We start from the raw sequence: 23,290 nt of genomic DNA on the forward strand, positions 1-23,290 counted from the left end.
CTGTTTCCATCTATGTCAGAGAGAAGAAATAAATATAGACCATTTCAATACTCTTCCTGCATATACAGGCCAAATAGAATTATAAAGCCAAAGCTCTAGAGTTCAATAAAGGAAAGGCAGTTAATGATTATAGTTTTATGGGTAAATTGTTGTAGTGAATTAATGTGTTTTTCAGAAGAGAGAGAACAGGAATGGCAGGTGTTCATCTATAAATGGTGATGAACAATGTGAAACCAAGACCACAGGTAATATTTCTGGTAAGGATTTCACAAGAGTGTAAACCACAGCAGCTAAAAACAAAACTTAAATCCATAAGTAGACAAGTTAATCAGAAACATATTTTATGCACTGTTTCTTCTATAATTTTAGGCTTCACAAAATACATTACATACATAACTAAGGCCATAATGCTGACTTAAGCTCTTATTTAAATGTATTTGTTGAAAATATTCACAGACTTTTTCAGAACATATGTTCTTTTTATATTTGTCTATACATGTTTCTATTTTTTTTCAATTGTGTTTGGATGTTGAGACTCTAAGTGATTTTTCTATTTTATTTATGGATATTATAATATTAATTTTAATACTAATTCAAAATTTTAAAAATATAAAAAGGAATCTAAAAATCCCTGTAATGTAGAAAGATGGCTACTAACTATGACTTACATGTGACTTGACATTGATAGAAAAATACTCGTGTGTTTACAAATGAACACATAATAAGTATGAAATAAGGATATAGTCAGATGTTAAAATCCCTTTCTGGATCTCAGTCCTCTTGGCAAACATAACTGTTGTGTTACTCTTTTTATTTTAATGGGAGTAAAGTGTTTGGGTGAAAGAATAATTTTTACTTTTATGTTTCCAAAAATACAAATACTGCTGTTTTGAGATGCAAAATGGAAAAATTGAATAGAATAGAATTAAGTCTCATTGTCCAACAGAATCAATAAATAATAAATGAGAAAAATAAAGAGATGCTCAAATATAACCTTGAACATAATGCTTTGCAGGGTTATAAGAGTGTTCAAATGCCTTTCATTTTCATCCTTTCAAATTTTTCAAAAGCTAATTAAGGTGTCATAGGTAAATAATAATGCTTCTATTATAACCAAAGCCTATTCTTTGAAGGCGGTTTATCAAGCATTTCTGCTAGTTTATATAACCGTAGTGGATCTACCAATACACCCAATGAGTGGCATACAAACTGATCAAGATAGACCCAGGAATCTAGATACATGTCCATCAGTGTGAGAATAGCATTTGCCAAGTCAACATTTTTGCCTCCAAAATGCTTTATAGACCTCAAGAAATTCTAACAACACTCTTGAGAGAACATTTGCTCTTATTAACAATTTCTAGTGAGAAATTAATGGCTAATTAATTTGCCCAAGGACAAAGAAAGTCAGATTATGGTTTTCAGGCTCATTTTTTTTTAGTCTAATTGATTATTAGCGTTGCATTATCTCTTTTTTTAACCTTGAAGGTCTTTTTGTTTTCTTAAAAATGCAGCATTCTTTGCTATTGTGAATCCATGTTGTGGCTATACTTGTATTTGAGGTTACACTTCTATTCTAAGTTCCTATTTCCAACACCAATTTTTTAGGCGTTTTTCTCTTCTTTTTTTTCTTTTTCTAAAGTTTTACTTTATTCTGCAAAGCTAAACTAGAAAGATGTACTAAAGATTGTTTGGCACTGGGTACACTTGAACATAAACACGGGAACAACAGATACTGGGGATTACTGAAGAGGAAAGACAGCGACAGGGGCAAGGCTGAACAACTACCTATTGGGTACTATGCTTACTACCTGAGTGACAGATCATTTATTCTCGAAACCTCAATATCATGCAGTATACTTTTGTAACAAACCTGCATGGGTGCCCTCTGAATCTGAAATAAAAGTTGAAAGGAAAAAAAAGAAAGAAAATTGTTTGGTTTTGTTTCAATTAGCCAAAATTTGAGATAAGTAATAGCTGCAAGTAGTAAAAAATAGTCTACGCTGTGTGTACATAAGAGTAGATAACTCAAACCTCGGTTCCCCTCTAAACACAAACTCTAAATAAAGGAAGAGGGTTCTGCCCTTCAAAAGTGAAGATATATAGACAAAAGAAACAAATATCTTGAAATGCTGAGCCTCATCCTTTTCAAAAAATACTTAAATAACTAGAAAAACAAAATAAAAATAGAATTCAGGGTGTGTGTTTGAGAGCAACAGATCCTTCTTCAGTATATTATTGGCTGGAAGTGTACAGAAATCTTTGTAAATTTTATTTAAAAATAATTTATTGGCTAATTCAAGATTTTATTTACTACTTTCTATGCCAGACACTATTATGAGTTCTGAAGTTACAATAACAAATGATATGGACTTTGTCCTTAAAAAGCTCACAGTCTAAGAGAGTGGGGGAACCCAAATATAATAAATCTGTGCTAAAAGAGTACAAGGAAAGAAGTAATTATTAATACTTCTGTGGACAATAAACACTACTATAGATCAGAAAACTGTATCCCAAAGCCTAAATGTGGTTAAATGCCTACTATATTTGTTTGCTACCATAACAAACCACCAATTTGCATAACCTCAACAAAAGAAATTTATTCTCTCACAGTTCTGAAGACTAGAAATCCAAACTCAAGATGTCAGTCAGGCAGTGCTTCCTCTGAACTCCTTTAGGGAAGGCTCCTTCCTTGCTTCTTCCAGCTTCTGGTAGCCCCAGGCACTTCTTAACTGTGGCAACATAACTCTAATTGCTGCCTCTGTCTTCACATGGCTGTCTTCCCTCATTGTCTTTGTCTCTTCTGTTCATTTAAGAACACCAGTTATGTTGGACTTAAGGCCTACCCTACTCAAGAATGACTTCACCTTAATTACATCTGCAAAGACCCTATTTCCACATAAAGTCATATTCATAGATACCGGGGATTAGGACTTCAACATATCTTTTTAAGAGGCACAATTCAACACAAAACACTTACTCAGCTAGGTGCTCATTAAAACACTGGATTTCTGCCATTCTGAATTTAAAAGGTAATGATTTAATTAAAACATCAGAGAATAAAATGACATATTGTTTTACAGTTTACAGTTCTATATATAGGCATATATATACACAGCTGTCATTATTTCATTGTTATCTGTAGAATTTCTTATTCTGTCTTTAAATATAAAAAGGATTATCTTCTATGAACAATAAAAAAGATAAACTAAATTTAATTACCAATTAAAGATGGGGTAAAAAAGAGCAACAACACTCTAAAACAGAATAATCATGGATATTGTGTAACCTCTCTCTTTCGTAGTTTGTTCATACTGGGAGACTAATGAAATAGAATGATAAAATCTTGTCCAGAGATGAGGAGGAGTATTAAATGACATCCTGTTCATTTAATGTGAATATAATAAACTTCAAAGTCAAAAATGTGACTATAATAAAGTTTGAAATTTTTGAAAATATGACACATAAGCATAAATACGTACATAAGATTAACACATTTTATCTATAAGTTATTTAAATTTATATACATATCCAACCTGAAAATTGTTTAATATTTGAGTTTTTTATAGTGTCTAAGAATGCGTAAATGGTATGCAAAAATATTTTCAATTTTTTGCTTACCATAGTTGAATGTTACAAACTTACTGTATCCAGCAAATTCCAAACTATATGCTAGAACTTGCAGAGAAAACAAAATGTTTTCCATGACAGCAAGAGACTCTATTTAATCATTATATTAAGAGATTTAAACAAGATGAGAATTAAGGATGGGATGGATATTCCAGAGAAATGGAACGATTAATTCATTCAATTTATATATGTTGAGTTTCTGCTCTATACCAGGCACCGGTCAAGGTATTGGGAACACAGCAATGAACACAATGTTCCAAGTCTCTGCCCTCAAATAGGTTAACCTCAAGTAGCTTAAATTCTAGGTGAAGGAGTAAGGGGAAGGAAGGGAAACGGGATGAATAATAGATAAACAACAAATAAATTTTTAGTACAAGTATGTTCCATGAAATATTTGGGACACTTAAATAATTAAACAATGAATAAGTTGTCAGAATAGGTAATGACAAGGACAAGTAATAATATTTTTCATATGTCTGATGCAATAGTTAGAACATAATTATTCTTTTTTTTAAAAAAAGACAAGGTCTCACTCTGTTGCCATGCTGGGGTGTAGTGGTGCCATAATAGCTCACTGCAGCCTTGAACTCCTAGACTCAAGCCATCTTCCCACCTCAGCCTCCCTAGTAGCTGGGACTATGGGTGCATGCCACCATGCCTGGATAGGATATAATTAACTAAAAAGTTTTTTGTTGCTTGTCTGAAGTTCAAATTTAACTGGGTGCCCTGTATTTTCATTTGCTCCATCAAACCATCTTAACAGGAGGAGATAGCAAATAAAGGCATTTTTAAAAGTAGTATGTTATATGGTGATAAATGCTTTGGAGAAAATAAGGCAAGGTTAGGCGAATTCGGAATGTTGTGAGGAGTGGGGAATCCCTACTCCATACATCAGCGGGATGACCTCTCCAATAATGAAGCATTTCAGCAGATACTTGAAGAAAGTGAGCATGTGGTCCAAGCCACCGGAGTCTTCCTGGCTTGGCTAGAAGGACAGCAGGTGAAAATCCCTGAGGCAGAAGAATGGTAGGTCTCTCCAGAAACAGAGAGTCCAGTGAACTGGAGTAGAGGGAGGAAGGAGAAAAGCAAATTTTTGCTTACCCTTGCAGTATTTGTTGTTGGCCAGAATTACTTCTTCGACATTAATCAAAACATGACCTTCAGCTGTATGTATCTGCTCACCTCTGTCTACCTGACTCTCTTTTTCTGTCTCTCCCTTTATCTCTGCCTCTCAGCACAGGCACCTATCTGTCTTCATATATAGCTTACTTATAAACCAAACACAAAGCAATGTCTGCTGCAAGAAAAAATAATGAGCAACTTAATTCAGGCCTTATTTACCCTCACGTTGTCAATTTTGATCATTTGCTTATTTAACTAAATTGTTCTGCTTTCATTCCAGTCATTAGCTTCCATATATAAAAAATAATGTGCTCACATTCCATAAGTATGTTAGATATTCACACATTTTGCATTTTGCAATAGAGACCAAGACTCTGGAGTGTTTTTATTTAATGAAACCTCTAATCAGATCCTGTGGATTTACTAGTAATTAATCTTTAAAATAACACCATATACAGGACTTTAATACCCCAATATGTTAATCTCATCTTTTGTTTTGAAAATCGTCCTCTATTTAACATTCTATCACACTGTATGCTGCCTCACTCCTGCAGCCCTCATCTCCACACAGCTGTGGTCTACATGGCCCCAACATGTGTATTCAGTACTGCCCTGCCAATTGTAAATGAGAGGTTTAAAAGGCTCCAGATCCAAGTGACACATGCAGCATTTGTGTTGAGGTTCTGCCTCCATCTTTGTGCCTAAATCTCTAACTGTGTAGCTTCCCACAACTAGTCTCTAGAAGCCTGGAACTCCACCTTTATCCTCTCATTAAGTCTTTTAAAAATCTACTTGTTCTCTGATTTCTAGCCCAGTTGCTGATAGAATTTCACCTGCTGATAAAATTTTCTGAATAAAATGTCAGAATATGAATCATCCTTCATTCTTGAGTTTTGCTTACTTATGAACTGCGACATCCTATGTCAGCCTCTCAGACTCCTATTCTTGACTTTCCCCTCGACCTGTACCCTGCTATTATCATGCTTCTTGACACAGGCCAAGGTTTGCCTGATAGACTAAATTTCTCTGAGCATCAGCTGATGCTCTTGGGCTTCATTCAAGCCCAATTCTGAATGTGATTCCAGATTTTATTATCCCTGTCTTCCCTCTTTGGATTTGGCAGGGCTGAGACACTTAGGGATAAGGTAAGTTCTGCCCTCTTCTCAATAATGGGATTGGTTGGATATTGCTTTTTACTTCTTGTTTTCCATGCAGTAGGAATATAACCAAAAAATACTATGTACTTCACTGTGAAGTCCTGAAACAAAAATATCATCGTAAATACCCTGGATCTCAAGGATCTCTAATTAGATGTACCATACACATATTGTATAACACTTCCAGAACCAGGGATTAGAAGAACAAGCCCTATATTTGCAGAAATGCGAACCTTAACTAATATATGTCTAATCTCTTTAATTTTACATACTGATGCAAAAGAGATACTAGGAGTTCCCCCATCAGTTCGTTCAATCTCTTGCTTCTTGGGCAAAATCTTCAAGGCTCTTGAATTTCATAGTGAATTTCTCTTTTTGGTCTGTGGGCCTACTCTCCATCTTTGTTACTTCTCTTTTGAGGCTTTCACCTTATACTCACTACAACTTCTCTCTCTCTCTCTCTTTTTTGTGCTAATCCAAATAGACTTTTTGGCCTTGCCCTAGCAGACATTTAGATTTTCCTTCCCAGCAAGTGTCTGTCTCTAAAGCTTGATGAATAGTTGCCAAAGAACACTTTCCTGATATAAGGAAATAGAGCCATGTTTGGTTGGGCTTTAAGATGAAACACAGAATCGTCTTTTTCACTGTGGTGAAGTACATCTGATGCTTTAACATTTATATTCTAGATCTAACATTTAGACTATCAGTTGTGTGACCTTAATCCCCAAGTCTTGGTTTCCTTATTTGTAAAATAAGAATATCGGCTATTTGATCTTGAAGGTCACCTACACCTCTGCAGTTTGTGATACAACTATTCATCACATTTAGCAGATGCCCTTCTCTTTAGAAAAATCTCAAGCCTATAGAATCGGATACAATTTAAACGATCCCCAGCATAATTTTGCCCTCTCAGGATTTCTATCTTCATAGTCATACACAGATTTTTTTGAAAACCCCAAGAAAAGAAAACCATGCAAATTAGAAGTGAATATATATTAGATGATTATAAATCACAAATTATATCAACCTTGTAGGGAAGAAAAGATTTCTTTTCTAACCCATAGCTAGGTTTGTAGCTGAGGCCTTTATAACAAAAGTCATTAACAAGAGAAAAGCACACAGATTTTTTAATAAAAATTTTATGACATGTCATAAAATTACATTACAGAACACAGGAACCTTCAGAAGTGAAGAGCAAAGGAACGGGGAAACCTATGACCTTTTTGCTAAGTTTGATGAAGAAGTGGATAGTTGTGGAGAAGTATGATGTGATCTAATGGAACAAGCTGGGGGAATTTAGGAGGGCCTATTTGTTCAGATTCTCCTCTGTGTCCCTGTTCCTTCAGAGATAAGGATGTTTCTTTTCTCTGGGTATAGCGAGGCACCTCTAGAATGAGGGTTTTATGACCTGCTTCAGGGGAGAAAAATCAAAGGAAGGTGACCGTGACCTTCTTGCTTCTGTTGTTTCCTCAAATGCCAAGATACATTATTTTGTGGTAGCGTGTTCTGAACTCCATATTTAAAAAATAGAATGTTACCAAAATTTTCTAAAAAGAAATAATATACTATTTTATATGTTGTTACTCTCATACTTTCTATCCATTCTTTACTGTTTTATTTGTAGGTGAATACATAAAAAGTTTCAGAATTTTCTAAATTAACCAAATCAGGTGAAATGCAATTGTGACCCCTGGTCCTCTGTTTTTGCTTTTCATAGTAGATATTATAAATATAAAACATTCAGTGCGAGCATATTTATAAGAATATAAATTGTTGAGGCAGGGTGCGGTGGCTCACACCTGTAATTCCAGCATTTTGGGAGGCCGAGGCAGGCAGGGATCACGAGGTTTTTGGGAGGATTTTGGGATCACGAGGTCAGGAGATCGAGGCCATCCTGGCCAACGTGGTGAAACCCCCTGTCTACTAAAAATACAAAAATTGGCTGGGCATGGTGGCACGCATCTATAGTCCCAGCTATGCGAGAGGCTGAGGCAGTGGGCTTGTCATTGCAGACTTCCATGCCTAGATTTCACTAGTATTTACAGAGATGTTTTTTAGCCTGTCTTCCTTCCTACCCCTAACCCCAACTCTTCTCTGGATTTTCCACTTGCTGGATCTACTGTGTCAATTACTGAGCCAGTCTTGACAAAGTTCAGGTGTTTTAGTGCAGGCTGCATCTCAGCATGCCTTTATTCCCTTGTCCCAGCTGTTGCATTAACCACCATGAATTTTCTACTTTGGTCTGCTGCTGCCCTGAGCTCTCTTGGATAAAGCCTTATTCCTGCTTGGTTTCTGTCAGCCCCACCTCTAGAGAATGAGAAGCTATTTATTCCTACAACATTGCTATATTCCTTCCAGAAATGGGCTACTTTGCCCAGATACAAAGCACTGCCATCCACCTAATTCTGATATTAAACATACTGCTTATTCTTCCATGATACAGTGCATTCACACTATTGTATTCAATGCTCACAGTAACCACACAGAGATCTACCATTTGACACTGGATAGGACCAAGGGAAGGTACACTTTCTAGTTTCCAGTTTCTTGCCCATTTCCTTTCCATTGTCTCTTGTTGATGAAATGGCTCTCTGGCCCATTCTGACCGATCCAAATAGTGAGGGAAATTAGGTGGTTATTTGGGTAAGTTATCATGTTCTTGGGCAATTAATGGGAAAGGAATTGAGGCAAATTATGAATATTCTTCTTTTAAAATAAAGTGATATTAAGCAATGTATTGAAGGGTCAACTGTGCAGTATTTGCAAGAAATAAATGACAATTAATTAAAGACATAAATTTTGACAAGAGCATTACATACTTTCTGCTTTTCAATGTGTTGTTGCTTTTCCTACAAATTGTTAGCTGAAGGGAACTATGAAAAGCTGATTAAAAATAATGTCACATAAAAATAAGCATTGGGCCATTCAGTATTATCATGTCTATCTTGCTGGCCCTATTAGAAATACCATGCCCTTTTTAAAAAATTGTATGCTTTTTTTTTCTGGTTTGATAAATTTTTACATTTAAATTTTAAATCATTAAAAAGTACTACTCACATTTTTTTCTGATATGTTTTCTGAAATATTTTTGCATTAGTTTTTATGTTAGTAGGTACAGAGGCAATTTTGTAAAACTACATTTAAGAATACATTTTTGGTGTTTAAAACTTGTTTTTTATGAAATGGTTTTTTTTCTCTAAAATTTCAATAAGCTTCACTAGAACTATAAAATTAAGGTTGCCTTTTTCCCTTTACTCACTGGTCATTGTCCAGTTGTAATTTATCCTACTGACTATCACTTGAGAGCCAGAGCAATGTTGGGGAAGAAGCAAGTTGACTTTAGACTTAGAGTTGGGAGCTGAGCGTGCCTTCTCCCCTCACCTTCACTCTGTTCTTGGATCTCACCCTCTTCAGCCCCCAAATTTTCTCATCTCTAAATAGTTAAGAATATCAGTGTCTTCTCTAGCAGAGGTCATTTTTAGGGCTTTTATAATAGCCAATATATATAAAGCACTTAGTTTAGTGCCTGACATACAGTAGGAGCTTAATAAAATAATTACTTAATAAAACAACATAATTACCTATCTCTGAAGGAATTAACCTTTTTATATTTTCCATTATTTTTTTTCTAATACTAACAACCTCCTTGTTTTTTTCTTCAACTTTTAAAATTCTGGGGTTCATGTGCAGGATGTACAGGTTTGTTACATAGGTAAACCTGTGTATGGTGGTTTGCTGCACAGACCAACCCATCACCTAGGTATTATGCCTGGCCTCCATTAGCTATTCTTCCTGATGCTCTCCCTCCCTCAACCTACCCACCCCCAAAAGGCCCCAGTGTGTGTTGTTCCCTCCATGTGTCCATATGAAAAAACTGCCTTTTAAGAGAAGAATACATCAGTTTGTGTATACACACACACAGAAAGAAACGGGAGCGTTATTTCCTGGTTTAGAGTTTCAAGAAGGTTTTATACATACTGTTTGCCCCTGGATGCAAATGGATACTTATGATGTATGGTGTGACTTCATGGAGAGTCCATTGTACTCAATGGTAAGTGATAAATATATTCAGCTATATTAAGAGGAAGAATTTAAAAGGCACATTAATTTAAAAGAATGCATGAGATCCACCTAAAAATTCTGTTCTGACAGGGGACTAATTTAGGCTACAACCCTGAATCCCCAGTATGTTTAGCGCTTGTGATGTTTGGAATACCCTATAACTAAAGAATGAATAGAAAATATTTAACTTGCAATCATGGTAAAATATAAGTCTAATAAACTATTGTCACAAGTTGGCAAAACTATTGTCACAAGTTGGCAAGAACATGAGAACGATTTCAACTGACTTTCACCTCTCCCTACACAGAGATTAATACAGTAATAATTTTACTTTGATGTATAATCCATATTAAAAATACACTGAGTGATTTAAATGGTTCCTATGCTATATGAAGCATTAGGTATATCAAAAGCCCCTGAATCCAAGATGTAAAAGCCTTGGAACTTTATAAGAAGATTGACATGTATTTGTGAGATTATTTTTGTAGAATGTAAAATAGGAAATTTTATCTAGCTAAATTTAAATCCCCACTAATACAGATTATCATCTCATTTAAATTATGATATATATGTTGTTATTTAAATTAATTACCTAGATATTTTATACATAGATATATCAAATAAAATTAATGTATCAAAGTATGATAGTAGAAATGACATTTTCAGATATTTGAATTCCTTTATTTTTTCTTTCATTGTAGCAATGTTCTATATCAACCACAGAACCTTTGAAACATGCACGTTATGTTATGAACATATAAATAAATAATTTTATTCATTTGAAAGGCCACAATAATTTCAAAGAACTATTTGCAGTTGACATTGACCAAAATAAAATACACTGAAGTGATAAAACAGATTTTAGATCTTAAAGTTGTAGTGGCTGTTAACATTGAATAGATCCATAAACATGAAAAATGGGCCATCTGTCCTTTGTGCTGACTCAAGGATAATACTTTAAAAATAAGATCAGTACTTTTACATAGCTGCTGATTGTTATGGATAACAATCTTAAATTCAAATTTAAGATTGAATTTAATCTTAATTCAATCTTAATTAATTTAAGGAGAATCTTAAATTCAAAGTACAATATTTTCTATTATTCGCCAGTGAGTCATTGTTACCAAAGTAAAACCTTCACTTCTTCAATAGCAAACTTTCTGCTCTTTCAATGAGATTAAGCATTTGACTAATCCTCATTTTATGTTTAATATTAACTTATTGGTCCTATAGGAAAACAGCCTGAGGATTTAGTATATAGACATTTATCCAATGATATAAAATCTGTGTATTTGGACAAGAAAGAAAGAATTATGCAAATTACTTATTTCTTTTTATATTATATCAGACATCTGCATATTTGGGACATCTGGATATTTGACAACCACGAACCTCAATATGATTAACTGAGCATTTCATTTTTTATCTAAATGATTTGGCACCAGGCAAAACAGATTTAATGATTATTAATTAACCTTCAGGTCCAAGGAGAGTTAGAGAAAGTTCTGCTATAAAATATAAGAAAAGCCATTCACTACACTAAAATTATTGTCCCTAAATCTGAATCTGAAAGGAATCACAATGGATTTTGGTGGATATACATATAAATACATTTTCTTCAATCTTTAAGACAAAAAAAAATCACAAAAAGATGGTGGGGTTGAATATATAGGTTTTATAGGCTAAATATCACAAGCAAAAATTGATGAGAATGTACTGGCTCCAATATAAATTAGCAGCAATTACACCAGACAATTTTTAGACTCTATTATCTTAAAGGCATTCAGATCTTACCAAGTCCACAAGCCATCTACTTGGATATAACAGCTCCCGAGAGGCTGCCTAGCAGCCACAAGGATGCTGTAGACTAACTAGGTTAGTACCTTCCACTTTCAATACTTCGTCAAAACAGTTTAAGATGACAGATGGGACAAGGAATTTAGGAATCCTGTAATGGATGTGAGATTGGAGAGTGTCTACAGCCAAGACATGGGTTTATGATAAAAGCAGATTAAAGAGGATACTATTGTGACTAGATGGGGGATTTAGGTCATGCTGTAAAACTCTTCAGATGGTATAGAGCTATATGTTAGGTCAGTGCAGAGGCTGAGGGTGGTGGGAATGGGTCTGTAAAGGAACTGATAAAAGTTTGGGACTGAAAAGATTTTAAAAAGACAGAGATCTTGGAAGAGCTATATGTTATATCAAAAGCTATTGTGTGCCTGTGCATATGCATGTGTACGTGTGTGTGCACCTTGCACACATAACCTGCTGCTTACTACTCAGCCCCCTTGTGTCTTCTCCCCTTCCAGAGTAGGCCATATACCTATGAACGTTTTAACGCTCATGTATAAAATCTATAAAGAAAAGAAAAAAGCAAATTACTACATTTTTACCTCCACAGTGGAATCTGAGACACTGTTATGTCACACAAATTCACTTTTTTTTTTTTTTTTGACAGAATCTCACTCTATCACCCAGGCTGGAGTGCAGTGGCATGATCTTGGCTCACTACAACCTCTGTCTCCTGGTTAATCTGATTCTCCTGCCTCAGCCTCCCAAGTAGCTGGGGTTATATGCACCTGCCACCATACCCAGCTAATTTTTTTATTTTTTAGTGGAGACGGGTTTCATCATGTTGGCCAGTCTAGTCTCAAACTCCTGCTCTCAGGCAATCAGCCCACCTTGGCCTCCCAAAGTGCTGGGCTTACGGGTGTGAGCCACGGTGCCCAGCCCAAGTTCACTTTTTCTACAAGTGACATGTGAGGCCTATTCTGTATCTAGTCATTCGTCCTCATTTCTCTCTGTATTCCACAGTTTCTTCTTCCTATCAAATTTAAAATTAACAATTTGTTTCTCTGATGGAGCATATTCTCTGTCAATTCAAGTACTTCTGCTCTGCTTTCCCCAGGAGCTTCTAAGAGCACAAGTGACTGCTTTACCATTGAATTCATCTCACTGTAAAGGAGTATTTGTCACAATAAGCCTCTTATTTTCAAACCTGAAATAAATACAAAAATATATAGAAAAAATAGAAAATTATTTTTCTACAAAATAGAAGTAGTACATACATTGACATTAAAACTTTTTCCTACTGAAACTATTGTGGCCAAGATGAATAATGTAGTAAGCTGGACCTCAAATGCCCATCTATTGAAAGGCTTGTGTGAATTCAACACAGATTTTGGAAGGAATTTTGACCTTTTATAGATGCTTTCTTAGAGAGGAAGTTATATAGCCTTTTTTCAGAGTTTTGTCATTTTTTAATCTTTTATTATTTTTAAAAATGTTTGTGGGTTGGTGTCCTTTGTCTTCTTTTCTGTATGTTTCCACAAAGGCTTAGAGACCCATCTCCCACTCAACAGTCTGCAAGAAGTAGCTTCAATAAACATCACAGGATAGCAACTTTCCAGGGAGAATAAGAAAATCTAATCATTCATTTATTAGTTCATTTACCATAAATTTTTGTGCACCTACTATATCCCAGGAAGTACCCTAAGCACAAGTATGTTAGCTCTGAACAGACATGATCCCTATCCTCAGGAAACTGGTACAACAGAGCAGAAGTCAGACAATAAATGAATAAGAAAATAATATATACATAAACATATACCTTATAATATGTGTTACGAAGAAAATAAGTTGAGCAGTGATGGAAAATAGCTATCAGAGAATTATGGGAAGAGGATGGCTTGAATATATCCCTGAACCCTTGCTGCTTGCTGTATCTGAGCCAATCAGCTGCTAAGGCCTCCTGCCCTGCTGAACTATTGAAAGAAAGAGCTAAGGCAAGAATTTTTACTTCATGAGCCAAGGAAGAGGCAGGGACCAGTTAGGGGAGGTCCAAGGTGAGGCCCCAGTGCATGTGTTAGATTCTGAGAAAAGCCTGGCCTGAGGGGTATATGAGCTAAACCTGCCTGTGAGAATGGTCCTTGCCAGGTGAACACGTCTTCTCAGGCTTTGAGTAGCTTCCAGGTAAAGGAAAAATTTTTTAATGAAAAAACAAAAATAAAATAAGCAATAAAAGAAATGATTGTCAAAGATAACTCCAAGAGGATTAAAAGAAACAAACAGACACAAATGAAAAAAAAGGTAAAAAACATGAAAGAACAAGTCAAGACTAAGAAAATATATTTAAAAAACAAATAAATAATCCAGAAGAAAAATAGGTAAAAGATAACATCAGATATTTCATTGAGGAAAAAATTATAATGTCAATAAATATATCAAACGTTAAAGCTCACTAGCAACTTCTGAAATATTAATAAAGGAGGTTGATTGAAATTAATTAATTTTTAAAAACCAAGGTACTAGTGAAGATGTGAAAAGATAAGACTTATATACATTACTGACTGAAGTATAAATTAGTACCACTGCAAAGGAGAGTATCTTCAAAACACCTGGTGAATTTGAACAGGCTTATGAGCTATGACTCAGCAGTTTTAGTAGATGAATCCCCTAGAGTAGCTCCCACACATTTCCATAAGGAGTTATGGGCCAGGATGCTCAGGTCAGCTCCCTTTGTAAAGGTGAAACATAGCAACAACATAATTATTTTTAGTAAGAAAACAGATAAATAGTATTGGCTGAAAAATACTATACTAGCCATATGATTTTTAAAAAGCAAATTGCTAAAAATAAGAGTATTAAAGTATTTAAAGTTGTAAAACGTATATTAATGTAAAAAATGCATTTATATACAATCTTTAAGTCTAGAAAATAGCATTACATATATTGTTTATATAGATATCCATATTTTATGAAATATAAAATTATGTGGAGATGTAATATACACCAACTTCAGCAAAATGATTGCATTTGAGAAGGAAGGGAGGGCAAAATAATAGAAGAAGCTTTAGCTGATATCTAATATTTGATTCTTGGAGAGAGAGAACACTGATGCAAAGATGTCAACACGAACATCTTTGTGTTCATGGAAGTGGACATCCTTTGTAATATTATTTTTGTATTTCATAAAATCAAAATCACAATGGAAGATTCACAAATGAGCATATCTCCTAACAAGAACTAAAACAGCAGTTTGTCAAGGAGAGAGGCAGGTTGAGGGTGTCCTATGTCACAGAAGTGCATATGTATAGAGTAGCTGTTGGTGTGCTTTGAGATCAGGTGTGGAGCAGTTCAGATGTAACTATTTACCAGATGTGAATTTTTTAAAAGAGTTATTTCTCCTTTTAAAGATTCATTATTTTCATTAATAAAGTGGAATCTACTTCACAGTACTGTGATGCAATGTACTAATATTGCCTATATAAAACAATTGTCACTATGCCTAGAATAAATATTCCATAAATGTTGATGGACACATAGTTTATTCATTCATCTAGATATTATTAAAATTTCAGGAATAAAAACATAATTAGCATAAAGATATTATGAGGGTAAATGGTACTTTAATAGTGAGAATTAGTTGAACATACACTAGTCTCCAACTACCTTACATAATTAACCTGATACCCTCCAAATAACCATGCAGTGGTGACTCCATCATTCTATGTAAGGAGACCGAGACTCCAAGAGGCTCAGTGCTTTGCCTAAATCTGAGGTCCAGATTAAAGTCCATATCTGACTGCTGCACTCTTTCACTTTTAGTGATATTCACACTGGACTTGCAGAGGATATGACAGCTTAAAAACATTTGAGAACCATAATTCTACACTACATGCTCTTTATGAATACTAGTAGATGTTTTCTAAGGTTCAGAGGAAGGCCTGTACAATTGGCCAATCTATAACTTTGATACCAGTGTAATATATCAATTATATACTACAAGTAAAATTTTAAAAAGAACAAAATTGTTTAACCTTAAGCTTATGATTTAATTTTTTTGATGTGTATTATAGAATTTGATATAGATAAAGTAGTTAATCAGATGTATAAAGAAAATAATACAGGTTGAGTATCCTGTAGCCAAAATGCTTGGGACCAGAAGTGTTTTGAATTTTTTGATTTTTTTCAAACTTTGGAATATTTGATATACATAAAGGGATATCTTGGGTTTGGGACCCAAATCTAAACACAAGATTCATTTATATTTCATAGAGTACTTATACACATGACCTGAAGATAATTTTATACAATATTTTTTAAAATTTTTGTATGAAGCAAAGTTTGTGTATGTTGAACTATCAGAAAGCAGAGGTGTCACTGTCTCAGCCACCTATGTGGACAACCTGTAGTTGTTTGGCATCACCATCATTCCTGACTCTGAATTTATATGCTAATGATAAGCAATCATTTTCTTGCAGTTACTCACACATAAGTATTAGCAGTAAGAAATATGACATACCATTACTACAGTGAAAAATTAATGTGGCAGAGGTGGAATTTTCCACTTGTGGCGTCATGTCTGTGCTCAAACAGTTTCAAGTTTTGAAGCATTTCAGATTTTGGATTTTTGTGTTAGTGATGCTCAGCCTATACAAAAATGACTCTTATGCTTGAAAATCTTAGTCCGTCTCTTCTGGTTTTTAAGTCATCCAGGAAGTTTATATGTGGTGGAAAATGCAACTGGCCATGTCCCAGGGCAGACACCTCCTCCAGTGCTCACAGTGGAGGCCACTGAAGTGTTATGACCATGTTCTGTCAGTGATGTGTACCTTTCTTTGGGCTCACAATGGCATAGAAAGATGTAACCAAAGTCTAGGGAATTGGGTCCTAATTAGAGAACTGCCAGTAACCAGGAGTAGGACCATAACACCTGGGACTCTGAGCTTCACCTCTCCAGGCTCCAGTTTCCTCATCTATGTAAATGAAAACATTGAACAAGAACAATACAGCAGTTATCAGGTCTGTTTTGACTCCTACAGTCCTTTATTCACTTGAAATTTTAAGCAAATGTTAAATATGTAAACCTGAGCCTGAGATGGGACTTTGAGTACTCTCCCCAAATCCTCAGAGACATTTCAAGAAGCACTTTGGAACAACTCAGAGAAATCTTTGTAAAAATTAGTGGACAAGATGAACTCTAAGATTAAATTAATTAAGGAGAAAATTGAGGGTCCCATAATATGATCACCAGGTTTGAATCCCAGATCTTCCAGTTACTAGTCAGTCTGAATATTGACTAAATTACTTAACTACTCTACAAGCAGTTTACTAACCTTACAGGATTATTGTGAATATTAATTAAGATAATTCATGTGAAGCACTTAGAAAAGAATCTAGAACATAAAGAAGAAATCAATAAAGTGATCTGTGATCAATTTACCATCACCATCATCATCATCATCATTGTTATATAAATGTGATCAAATACATGAGAAAAACCTAACACTTGTCTGGCACAAGGGAGCTGTGTATAGGTATATGTGTGTGTGTGAGCCTGTGACTAATTTTTTAGCCTCCGTCATTTTTCCTACTTTCCTGTCAAGATATCTACTCTCTATCAGGCACTAGAAATATAAAATGTGATTAGTTTAGATTAAAAGATACTGAGGAATGAAGTACCAATCTCAGAACACGGTGACGAAAAATATTTTCTGCAGATTAAAATGAATATTGAACTAATAGCATTTTTGTTAGAAACTTTCTTTCATCCCCAGAAGTTTAGTATTCCCTTTTCTGGACATTTTAGTGGTTGAATCATTCCTGGCTTCGCAGGATGTGAAATGTTCATTAAAAGAAGCATCATGGTTACTGCCTTGTAAAGATGATCCTAACAGCTTAGTTCTTTGTGAACTATTTGTGTGTTGGCTTGCCGTGACTTTGCACAAGTTAGCCACTGAAGCAGAAAAATCACTGCCGGGGTTGTCAAATATCATTGGTGCAAGGTGCCTTTCTGTGTGCCTGGCTGAGCAGCTTCCAATGACATGTGATGTGGGGTTTTCTCCCAAGGCTGTTGCGTGCTGTGTGCAGCATATCTAAGCTGAAAAACTAATGCATGGCCGGGTATTCTTGGTAGGCCTCCAGGCATTTCACATTCATTTATAAAATGCCTTTTTTCTACTTCAAATTAATCTTATGTTCTTTCCAATCACCATTGTAATACTCTTTTGACTTTATATTCTGACAAGCTTGAAATAGCCTGATAGGATTGAACTAAAGTATAAAAAACCAGAGTTACAACAGTCAGAAACAAATGAAAAACTGAAACCGAGTCTGCAGCGTTACCTTCACAGCTGTGTTAGTACACAATTCGGGCCTTTTCTAGCTTTATGATTCTAAAATATGTCTTTGTTTTGAATTAAGTTGCTGGCATTATGTTTGCAGAGCAGTTAATCCATCTCCAAAATTTGTAATAGTCATGGTTATTCTGTGACTTTCATTGCAAATGGAACTTCAGTGTCAGGTTTATGGGACAGCTATTAAAAAAGCAGAAGGAGAGTTATCACAAGTCTCTTATGGAACTCGTTAACTTATGGTAATTAATCTAAATAGGACATTTATTTGAATTCTATCTCAGGAAACCAAATGAACTTTCTCTTCTTGAATGTGCAGTTTAATGCTCATTTATGTTAATATTATATTTCTTTAAGTTGTTAGTCACAATTTGTGTTGCTGTCTCATCTATTCATCTAACAAGCATGTATTTGGCACCTCCTGTATGTCTGACTTGTAATTGAGTGATGAATAGGACTAGTTCCTGTCCTCAGAGAGTTCCTAGTCTGGTGGAGGGGAAGCTTTGCAGGCAAAGAATGAGTAAGGTGCATCAAGCCCAGTGGTGAGTAACATACACCAGGCAGAGGGATAACAGAAGAGAATGGCATTAACTCATTCTGGGAGTTGAAGGAACACTTTCTGAAGAAAGTGATGTCTCAGCTGGATGAAAAGGAGTAAAATAGTGACAATCCATGATAGAAGCTCAGGTATAGTAATTTGTTAACCAAAATATTCCAAGTGAAAGTAATTGAAATAGGGCATCTGAACAATTTGCATGGGGCTTTATATTTAACACTTTCCTGCTTTCAACTGTTCATTTTTTCCTCCCTCTTACAGAAACTCCCTGAGATACACAAACTGATATTCCTCTGAGTTTTCAAGTTGGAGAACTGGCCCTTAGGGTACACTCAGTGACTATTAGTTGAATGGGATAACACAACCAATATTTATTGAGTGCCTACTGCCTCTCTGTGCCTTAATTCTTTATTTGTAAAATTAGCATAATAACCAGGCCTCTCTCCTATGATTATGGTAAGGAAAAAATGAGATTAATATGTTATTAACATAGACTAGCATTGGTCTCAAAATCAGGGTTATATAAGCCAGTTATTATTACTAGTAACTGCTACTGGTTATTAATTAGTTATTATTAGTAACTGGCTAGTTACTAGCCAGTTATTATTACTAGTAATTTTCTAGATAACAAGAAGTTGGTTTAGGGGTGAAGGGAATCTTCCTTACCCCCTTCGGAAGGTTCAATAATTTGAGTCTGTAAAACAAACTGACAATAGACAGGTTAACAGGAAACAGGCATACAAAACGATACTAGTAATAATAATTAGTAGAGACATGCCACGCACTGTTTTAGGCACTGAACGTCAGCAGAGCAAAGGCTGGCTTTCATGCAGTTTAAACCGTGTGGCCAGAGCGGAGTGGCTGAGGAAGGGAGTAAATAAAAAGAAACGAAGTTGAAAGACTTGCTGGAGGAGGGAAAGGCACAGATTACAGAGGGATTTATAAGCCATGGTGAGACTTCAAAATTTTAAGCCAAGAAGGAACCTGATCTAACTTAGGTTTTAAAAGAATTACTTATGCACTCTGAATAGATTGGAGGAGCGCAAACATGGAGAGAACAGAAGAATCAGAAGGTTATTCAGATCACAGTGGCTTTGGGCCTGTGTGTGTGTGTGTGTGTGTGTGTGTGTGTGTGTGTGTGTATGTGTGTGTGTGTGAGGGGGCAGAGAGAAGTGGTCAAAATCTGGATATATTTTGGAGGTTTACTAGGCAGAATTCACTAATGGAGTAGATATGTGGCATTCAACAAAGAGAGGTTCCAGAATTTTGGCCTAAGCAGAAAAATAGAAGCTTCCATTTCTTGAGATGGGAGAAGATTTATGAGGAAGAAAACTGGCTTCAAGAATGAAAATTTCCATTTTAGACATGTTAATAATAAATCAGTGAATATAATATGGTATTGCAAAAGACCAAGGAATTAACCTGGGTTAGGAAAGATGGATAGAGATAAAAGAGAAAAGAATGTGAGAAAGATGTTACTATGGCTTCAAGATCCAAGGTGAGAAATGGGAGACAATAAGGCTCATAAAAGAGAAATCTGTTTGGATCTGAATCAGAAAGATCACACAGTATAGTAATGAGAATTAAAACTGCACAGAAACAATCAGGGTTTAGAAGGCTAAAGTGGACAATTTGAACTCATTTACTAGTAGCTTGGCAACAGTTAAAATTTTCAAAACAAGCTGATTTGAGCTAAGTCTCTTAGCATTCACCACATTATACTGAGTTATCTATTTCTGTGTTTTGCTATCCCACCAAACTGTAAATTCTGCTGTGTTTTATTCATCATTTTACTGCCTCTGCCTAGCATGGTACCTGGTACATGCTTGCCACTCAGTAATCACTTGTGGAAGTCAACTGAAAAAAAAAAAAAGAAAAGAAAAAAAAAAAGGCTTGTGCCCAAACAAGGACACAAATTGAAATAACAGGCTCCATTGGTTCAAATTCAAACTATTCCCTTATGCAAAGGATTCAAGTTTGCTGAGACCCCAGATCCAAGGCCCTATATCTGTCTTAATATGATAACAAGGGGTAACACTCACCTCACATATCCCAAAAATAATTTTCAGTATCCTGCTACTACCTCATTTTGTCTCATACCAGAATTGAGAGCAAACACTCAATGTTTCTTTATCTCTTGCGTTTAATTTGCTAAACTCCAAATCAAATTGAACCCTGGTCTATTTGAAGAAAATACACTGTAGTAGTTTCTCCTCCCCTGTGCAGGTTCATTTATCTGTACCCTAATTCACTCAAAACTCAGAGGAAAAACACATCTGTATTGAAACATTTTTGTGGCATTGATTGCTCCCCATGTGATTATTCCAACAACAACTATGTAACAACGTGAGGGTGAAAATAATCTCTGTAGCTTGTTTTGTGTGGGCTAACACCCTAGTGAGATGGAAAAATAGCCTAAAACTATGTCTACTTTTTCCTGAGACTTGTCTTTTCAATAAGAGCTTATTTACTATACCTCCTGCTTGCTTTTAGTCAGTAATATGTTTTGAAGATAGAACAAATGATCTTTTCTACTTGAAAACACAATTTATTTTTATTGTAGTAAAACTATCCCATTAAAAAGTTTTTAAGATGTGGAGAATAGATCTCATTGTAAGTTGGTACAGCCTGTTCAAATTTTGATACAATAAATCAAACTGAAGGTGTTGAAGGTGTAGGATAGCAAACTTTTTTCTCCAGTCCCACTTAACAGCCAAAACTACATCACTCCAATATATCTGCCTCCATTTGGTTTCTTGCTCTTTCGTATCTTCCCTCAATTATTATGGTATCTCAAAACACCTCTCACACTTTCCTGTTTTGCCCATCCAGCCAATACTCCCTCATTCCTGAAGAATTCGCCCCATCAGAGACCCATAAGCAGTGCTGGGGTTCATGTACATCATAATTTTCTAGATAATAAGTTGGTTTAGGAGTGAAGGGAATTTTTCTTACCCCTTCTGAAGGTTAGATAATTTGAGCCTATAAACCAAACAGACAGATTCACAGGAAAAAGCATACAAATTTATTACATGCACGTGCACAGGGAGCTACACAAAATACAGGACTCAAAGAAGGGCCTAAGGTTTTTATATGATACAGAAAGAAAAAGAGGCCTGAAGCTCCTGGAGGCTGTGGTGACAGGTTATGGAAGGGTAAGGGGAAGAATGCACTGTGAACAAAGGCTGTTGTTTCATTGTGCAGAGAAGGTCTATCAGGTAATAGCCCTCAAAAAGAGTAGATGGTAACCTGTGGTAATAGTTTCTCTGTCAGACCTTTAAAAGTGTCAAACCTGTCTTTAGTCTTCTTTTCCTGTGAGTTAATCTTTCCTAGATTCAAATAAAAGGACCTCAGAGAAACCGTCTGCCTGCATCCCTTGTTTGCTTTATTAATATATACATGTAAATTTATTTTACAAAAGGATAAATTTTCAGAGCCATGCTTTGTGTCTGCAGACCCTCTGAATAGCCATCTCAAAATATGCCAAAGAGGCACGCTTTGGATGGCATATTTTGGTTTCCCACAGTCCCCTCTTTGAAATTTATTTTCAGAAAGTTTTACATATTAAAATAGGATTGATAACTGTGGAAAATTTGCTTTAGACATTTTGAGATAAGACATTAGCAAAGGGAAGAAAAACATATATTGGAATAAGTAGAAAAATGTCTCATTTTAGGAAGTGGTGTTGCAGGGTTCCCACAGTTAAGTCTCTACATGGTGTAAGCAAACAAGTTTTTAATATGAGGCTTCTCTAAAGAAACAAAAGAAAGACAAAAGTTAATAATTGAAGCAGCATATAAACTAGTTCTGAGTCTAGCAGTTGAAAAGATTTCTAGATTTGGCCTCAAAACATCTTCAGTTGAAGTGTGGATAGACAGTGACAATCTGACAGATTTTAAGTTGTTATTGTGATTTATCTGGAGTCAACCAGCTTCAGCTTTCAGGGCTTCAAGAAAAAGGCACATTTAATTTCAGTGATTCCAAGTCAGAAAAAAATTGGAGAAAAAAGTGAAAATGTTATTTTGGAGAGTTGCAGTCAGACATTAGAGGAAACTAACAATTTCAGAATCCAGTCTAAATTGTAGGTAAATAATAAAATCTCAAAAAAATGAACAGAGCTAGAATCTAATAACAGATACACTGTAGTTTTCTTTTAAGTCATAATTTTTCTCTCTCGAGTTCCCCCCTTTTTACCAAAGTTAATCACAATAAAACTAATTTGTTTGCAAAATAAGTTTTAGGCTTGTTATACTTTGCCTAATAATTTACAGAAGTACAGCAAAATGATGATTAATCATATAAGCTCATTTTCAATTTTGCTTTGCTGGAACTTTTCACAAGGAATCTCAGATTAAACTTTTGAAAGCCTCTTGAGGCTGGGAAGCCAATCCAAGGAGGAGTCACCCTCAAATTGTGCCTGTAATACCTTTAAACTTGAGTGAATACTTCTCTTCTCAAGGTTCCCAAAAATATATTCAGGTTCCAGGGCCTCTCAGGAAGTGACATTTTTTCTCACCTGTAAATCAACCATGTTAATTATTTATCCAAGATATCAAGATAGATTTTCCAAGGGGTTTTAATTGGCTTTATAAAGTCAACTTTAATTCCTTAGAGCAATCTGGTCA

The 23,290-nt window shown here is 35.2% G+C and overlaps 1 protein-coding gene and 1 long non-coding RNA gene across 18 annotated transcripts in view; one reads left to right on the forward strand and one right to left on the reverse strand.

The window, feature by feature from the left end:
* The window catches only part of SYT1 (synaptotagmin 1), a 588,027-nt gene that overhangs the window by 204,991 nt on the left and 359,746 nt on the right, over positions 1–23,290 (forward strand). The gene's annotated exons all lie outside the window — the stretch shown is intronic.
* Positions 1–23,290, reverse strand: part of LOC105369863 (uncharacterized) — a 197,856-nt gene that overhangs the window by 163,949 nt on the left and 10,617 nt on the right. The window contains exon 3 of one of the 2 annotated variants that reach the window (XR_007063385.1): positions 1–23,181. This is a non-coding gene — a long non-coding RNA (uncharacterized LOC105369863). The other variant, XR_007063384.1, reaches the window with a different exon arrangement.

This window comes from Homo sapiens, chromosome 12 (assembly GCF_000001405.40).
Source record: "Homo sapiens chromosome 12, GRCh38.p14 Primary Assembly".
NCBI lineage: Eukaryota > Metazoa > Chordata > Mammalia > Primates > Hominidae > Homo > Homo sapiens.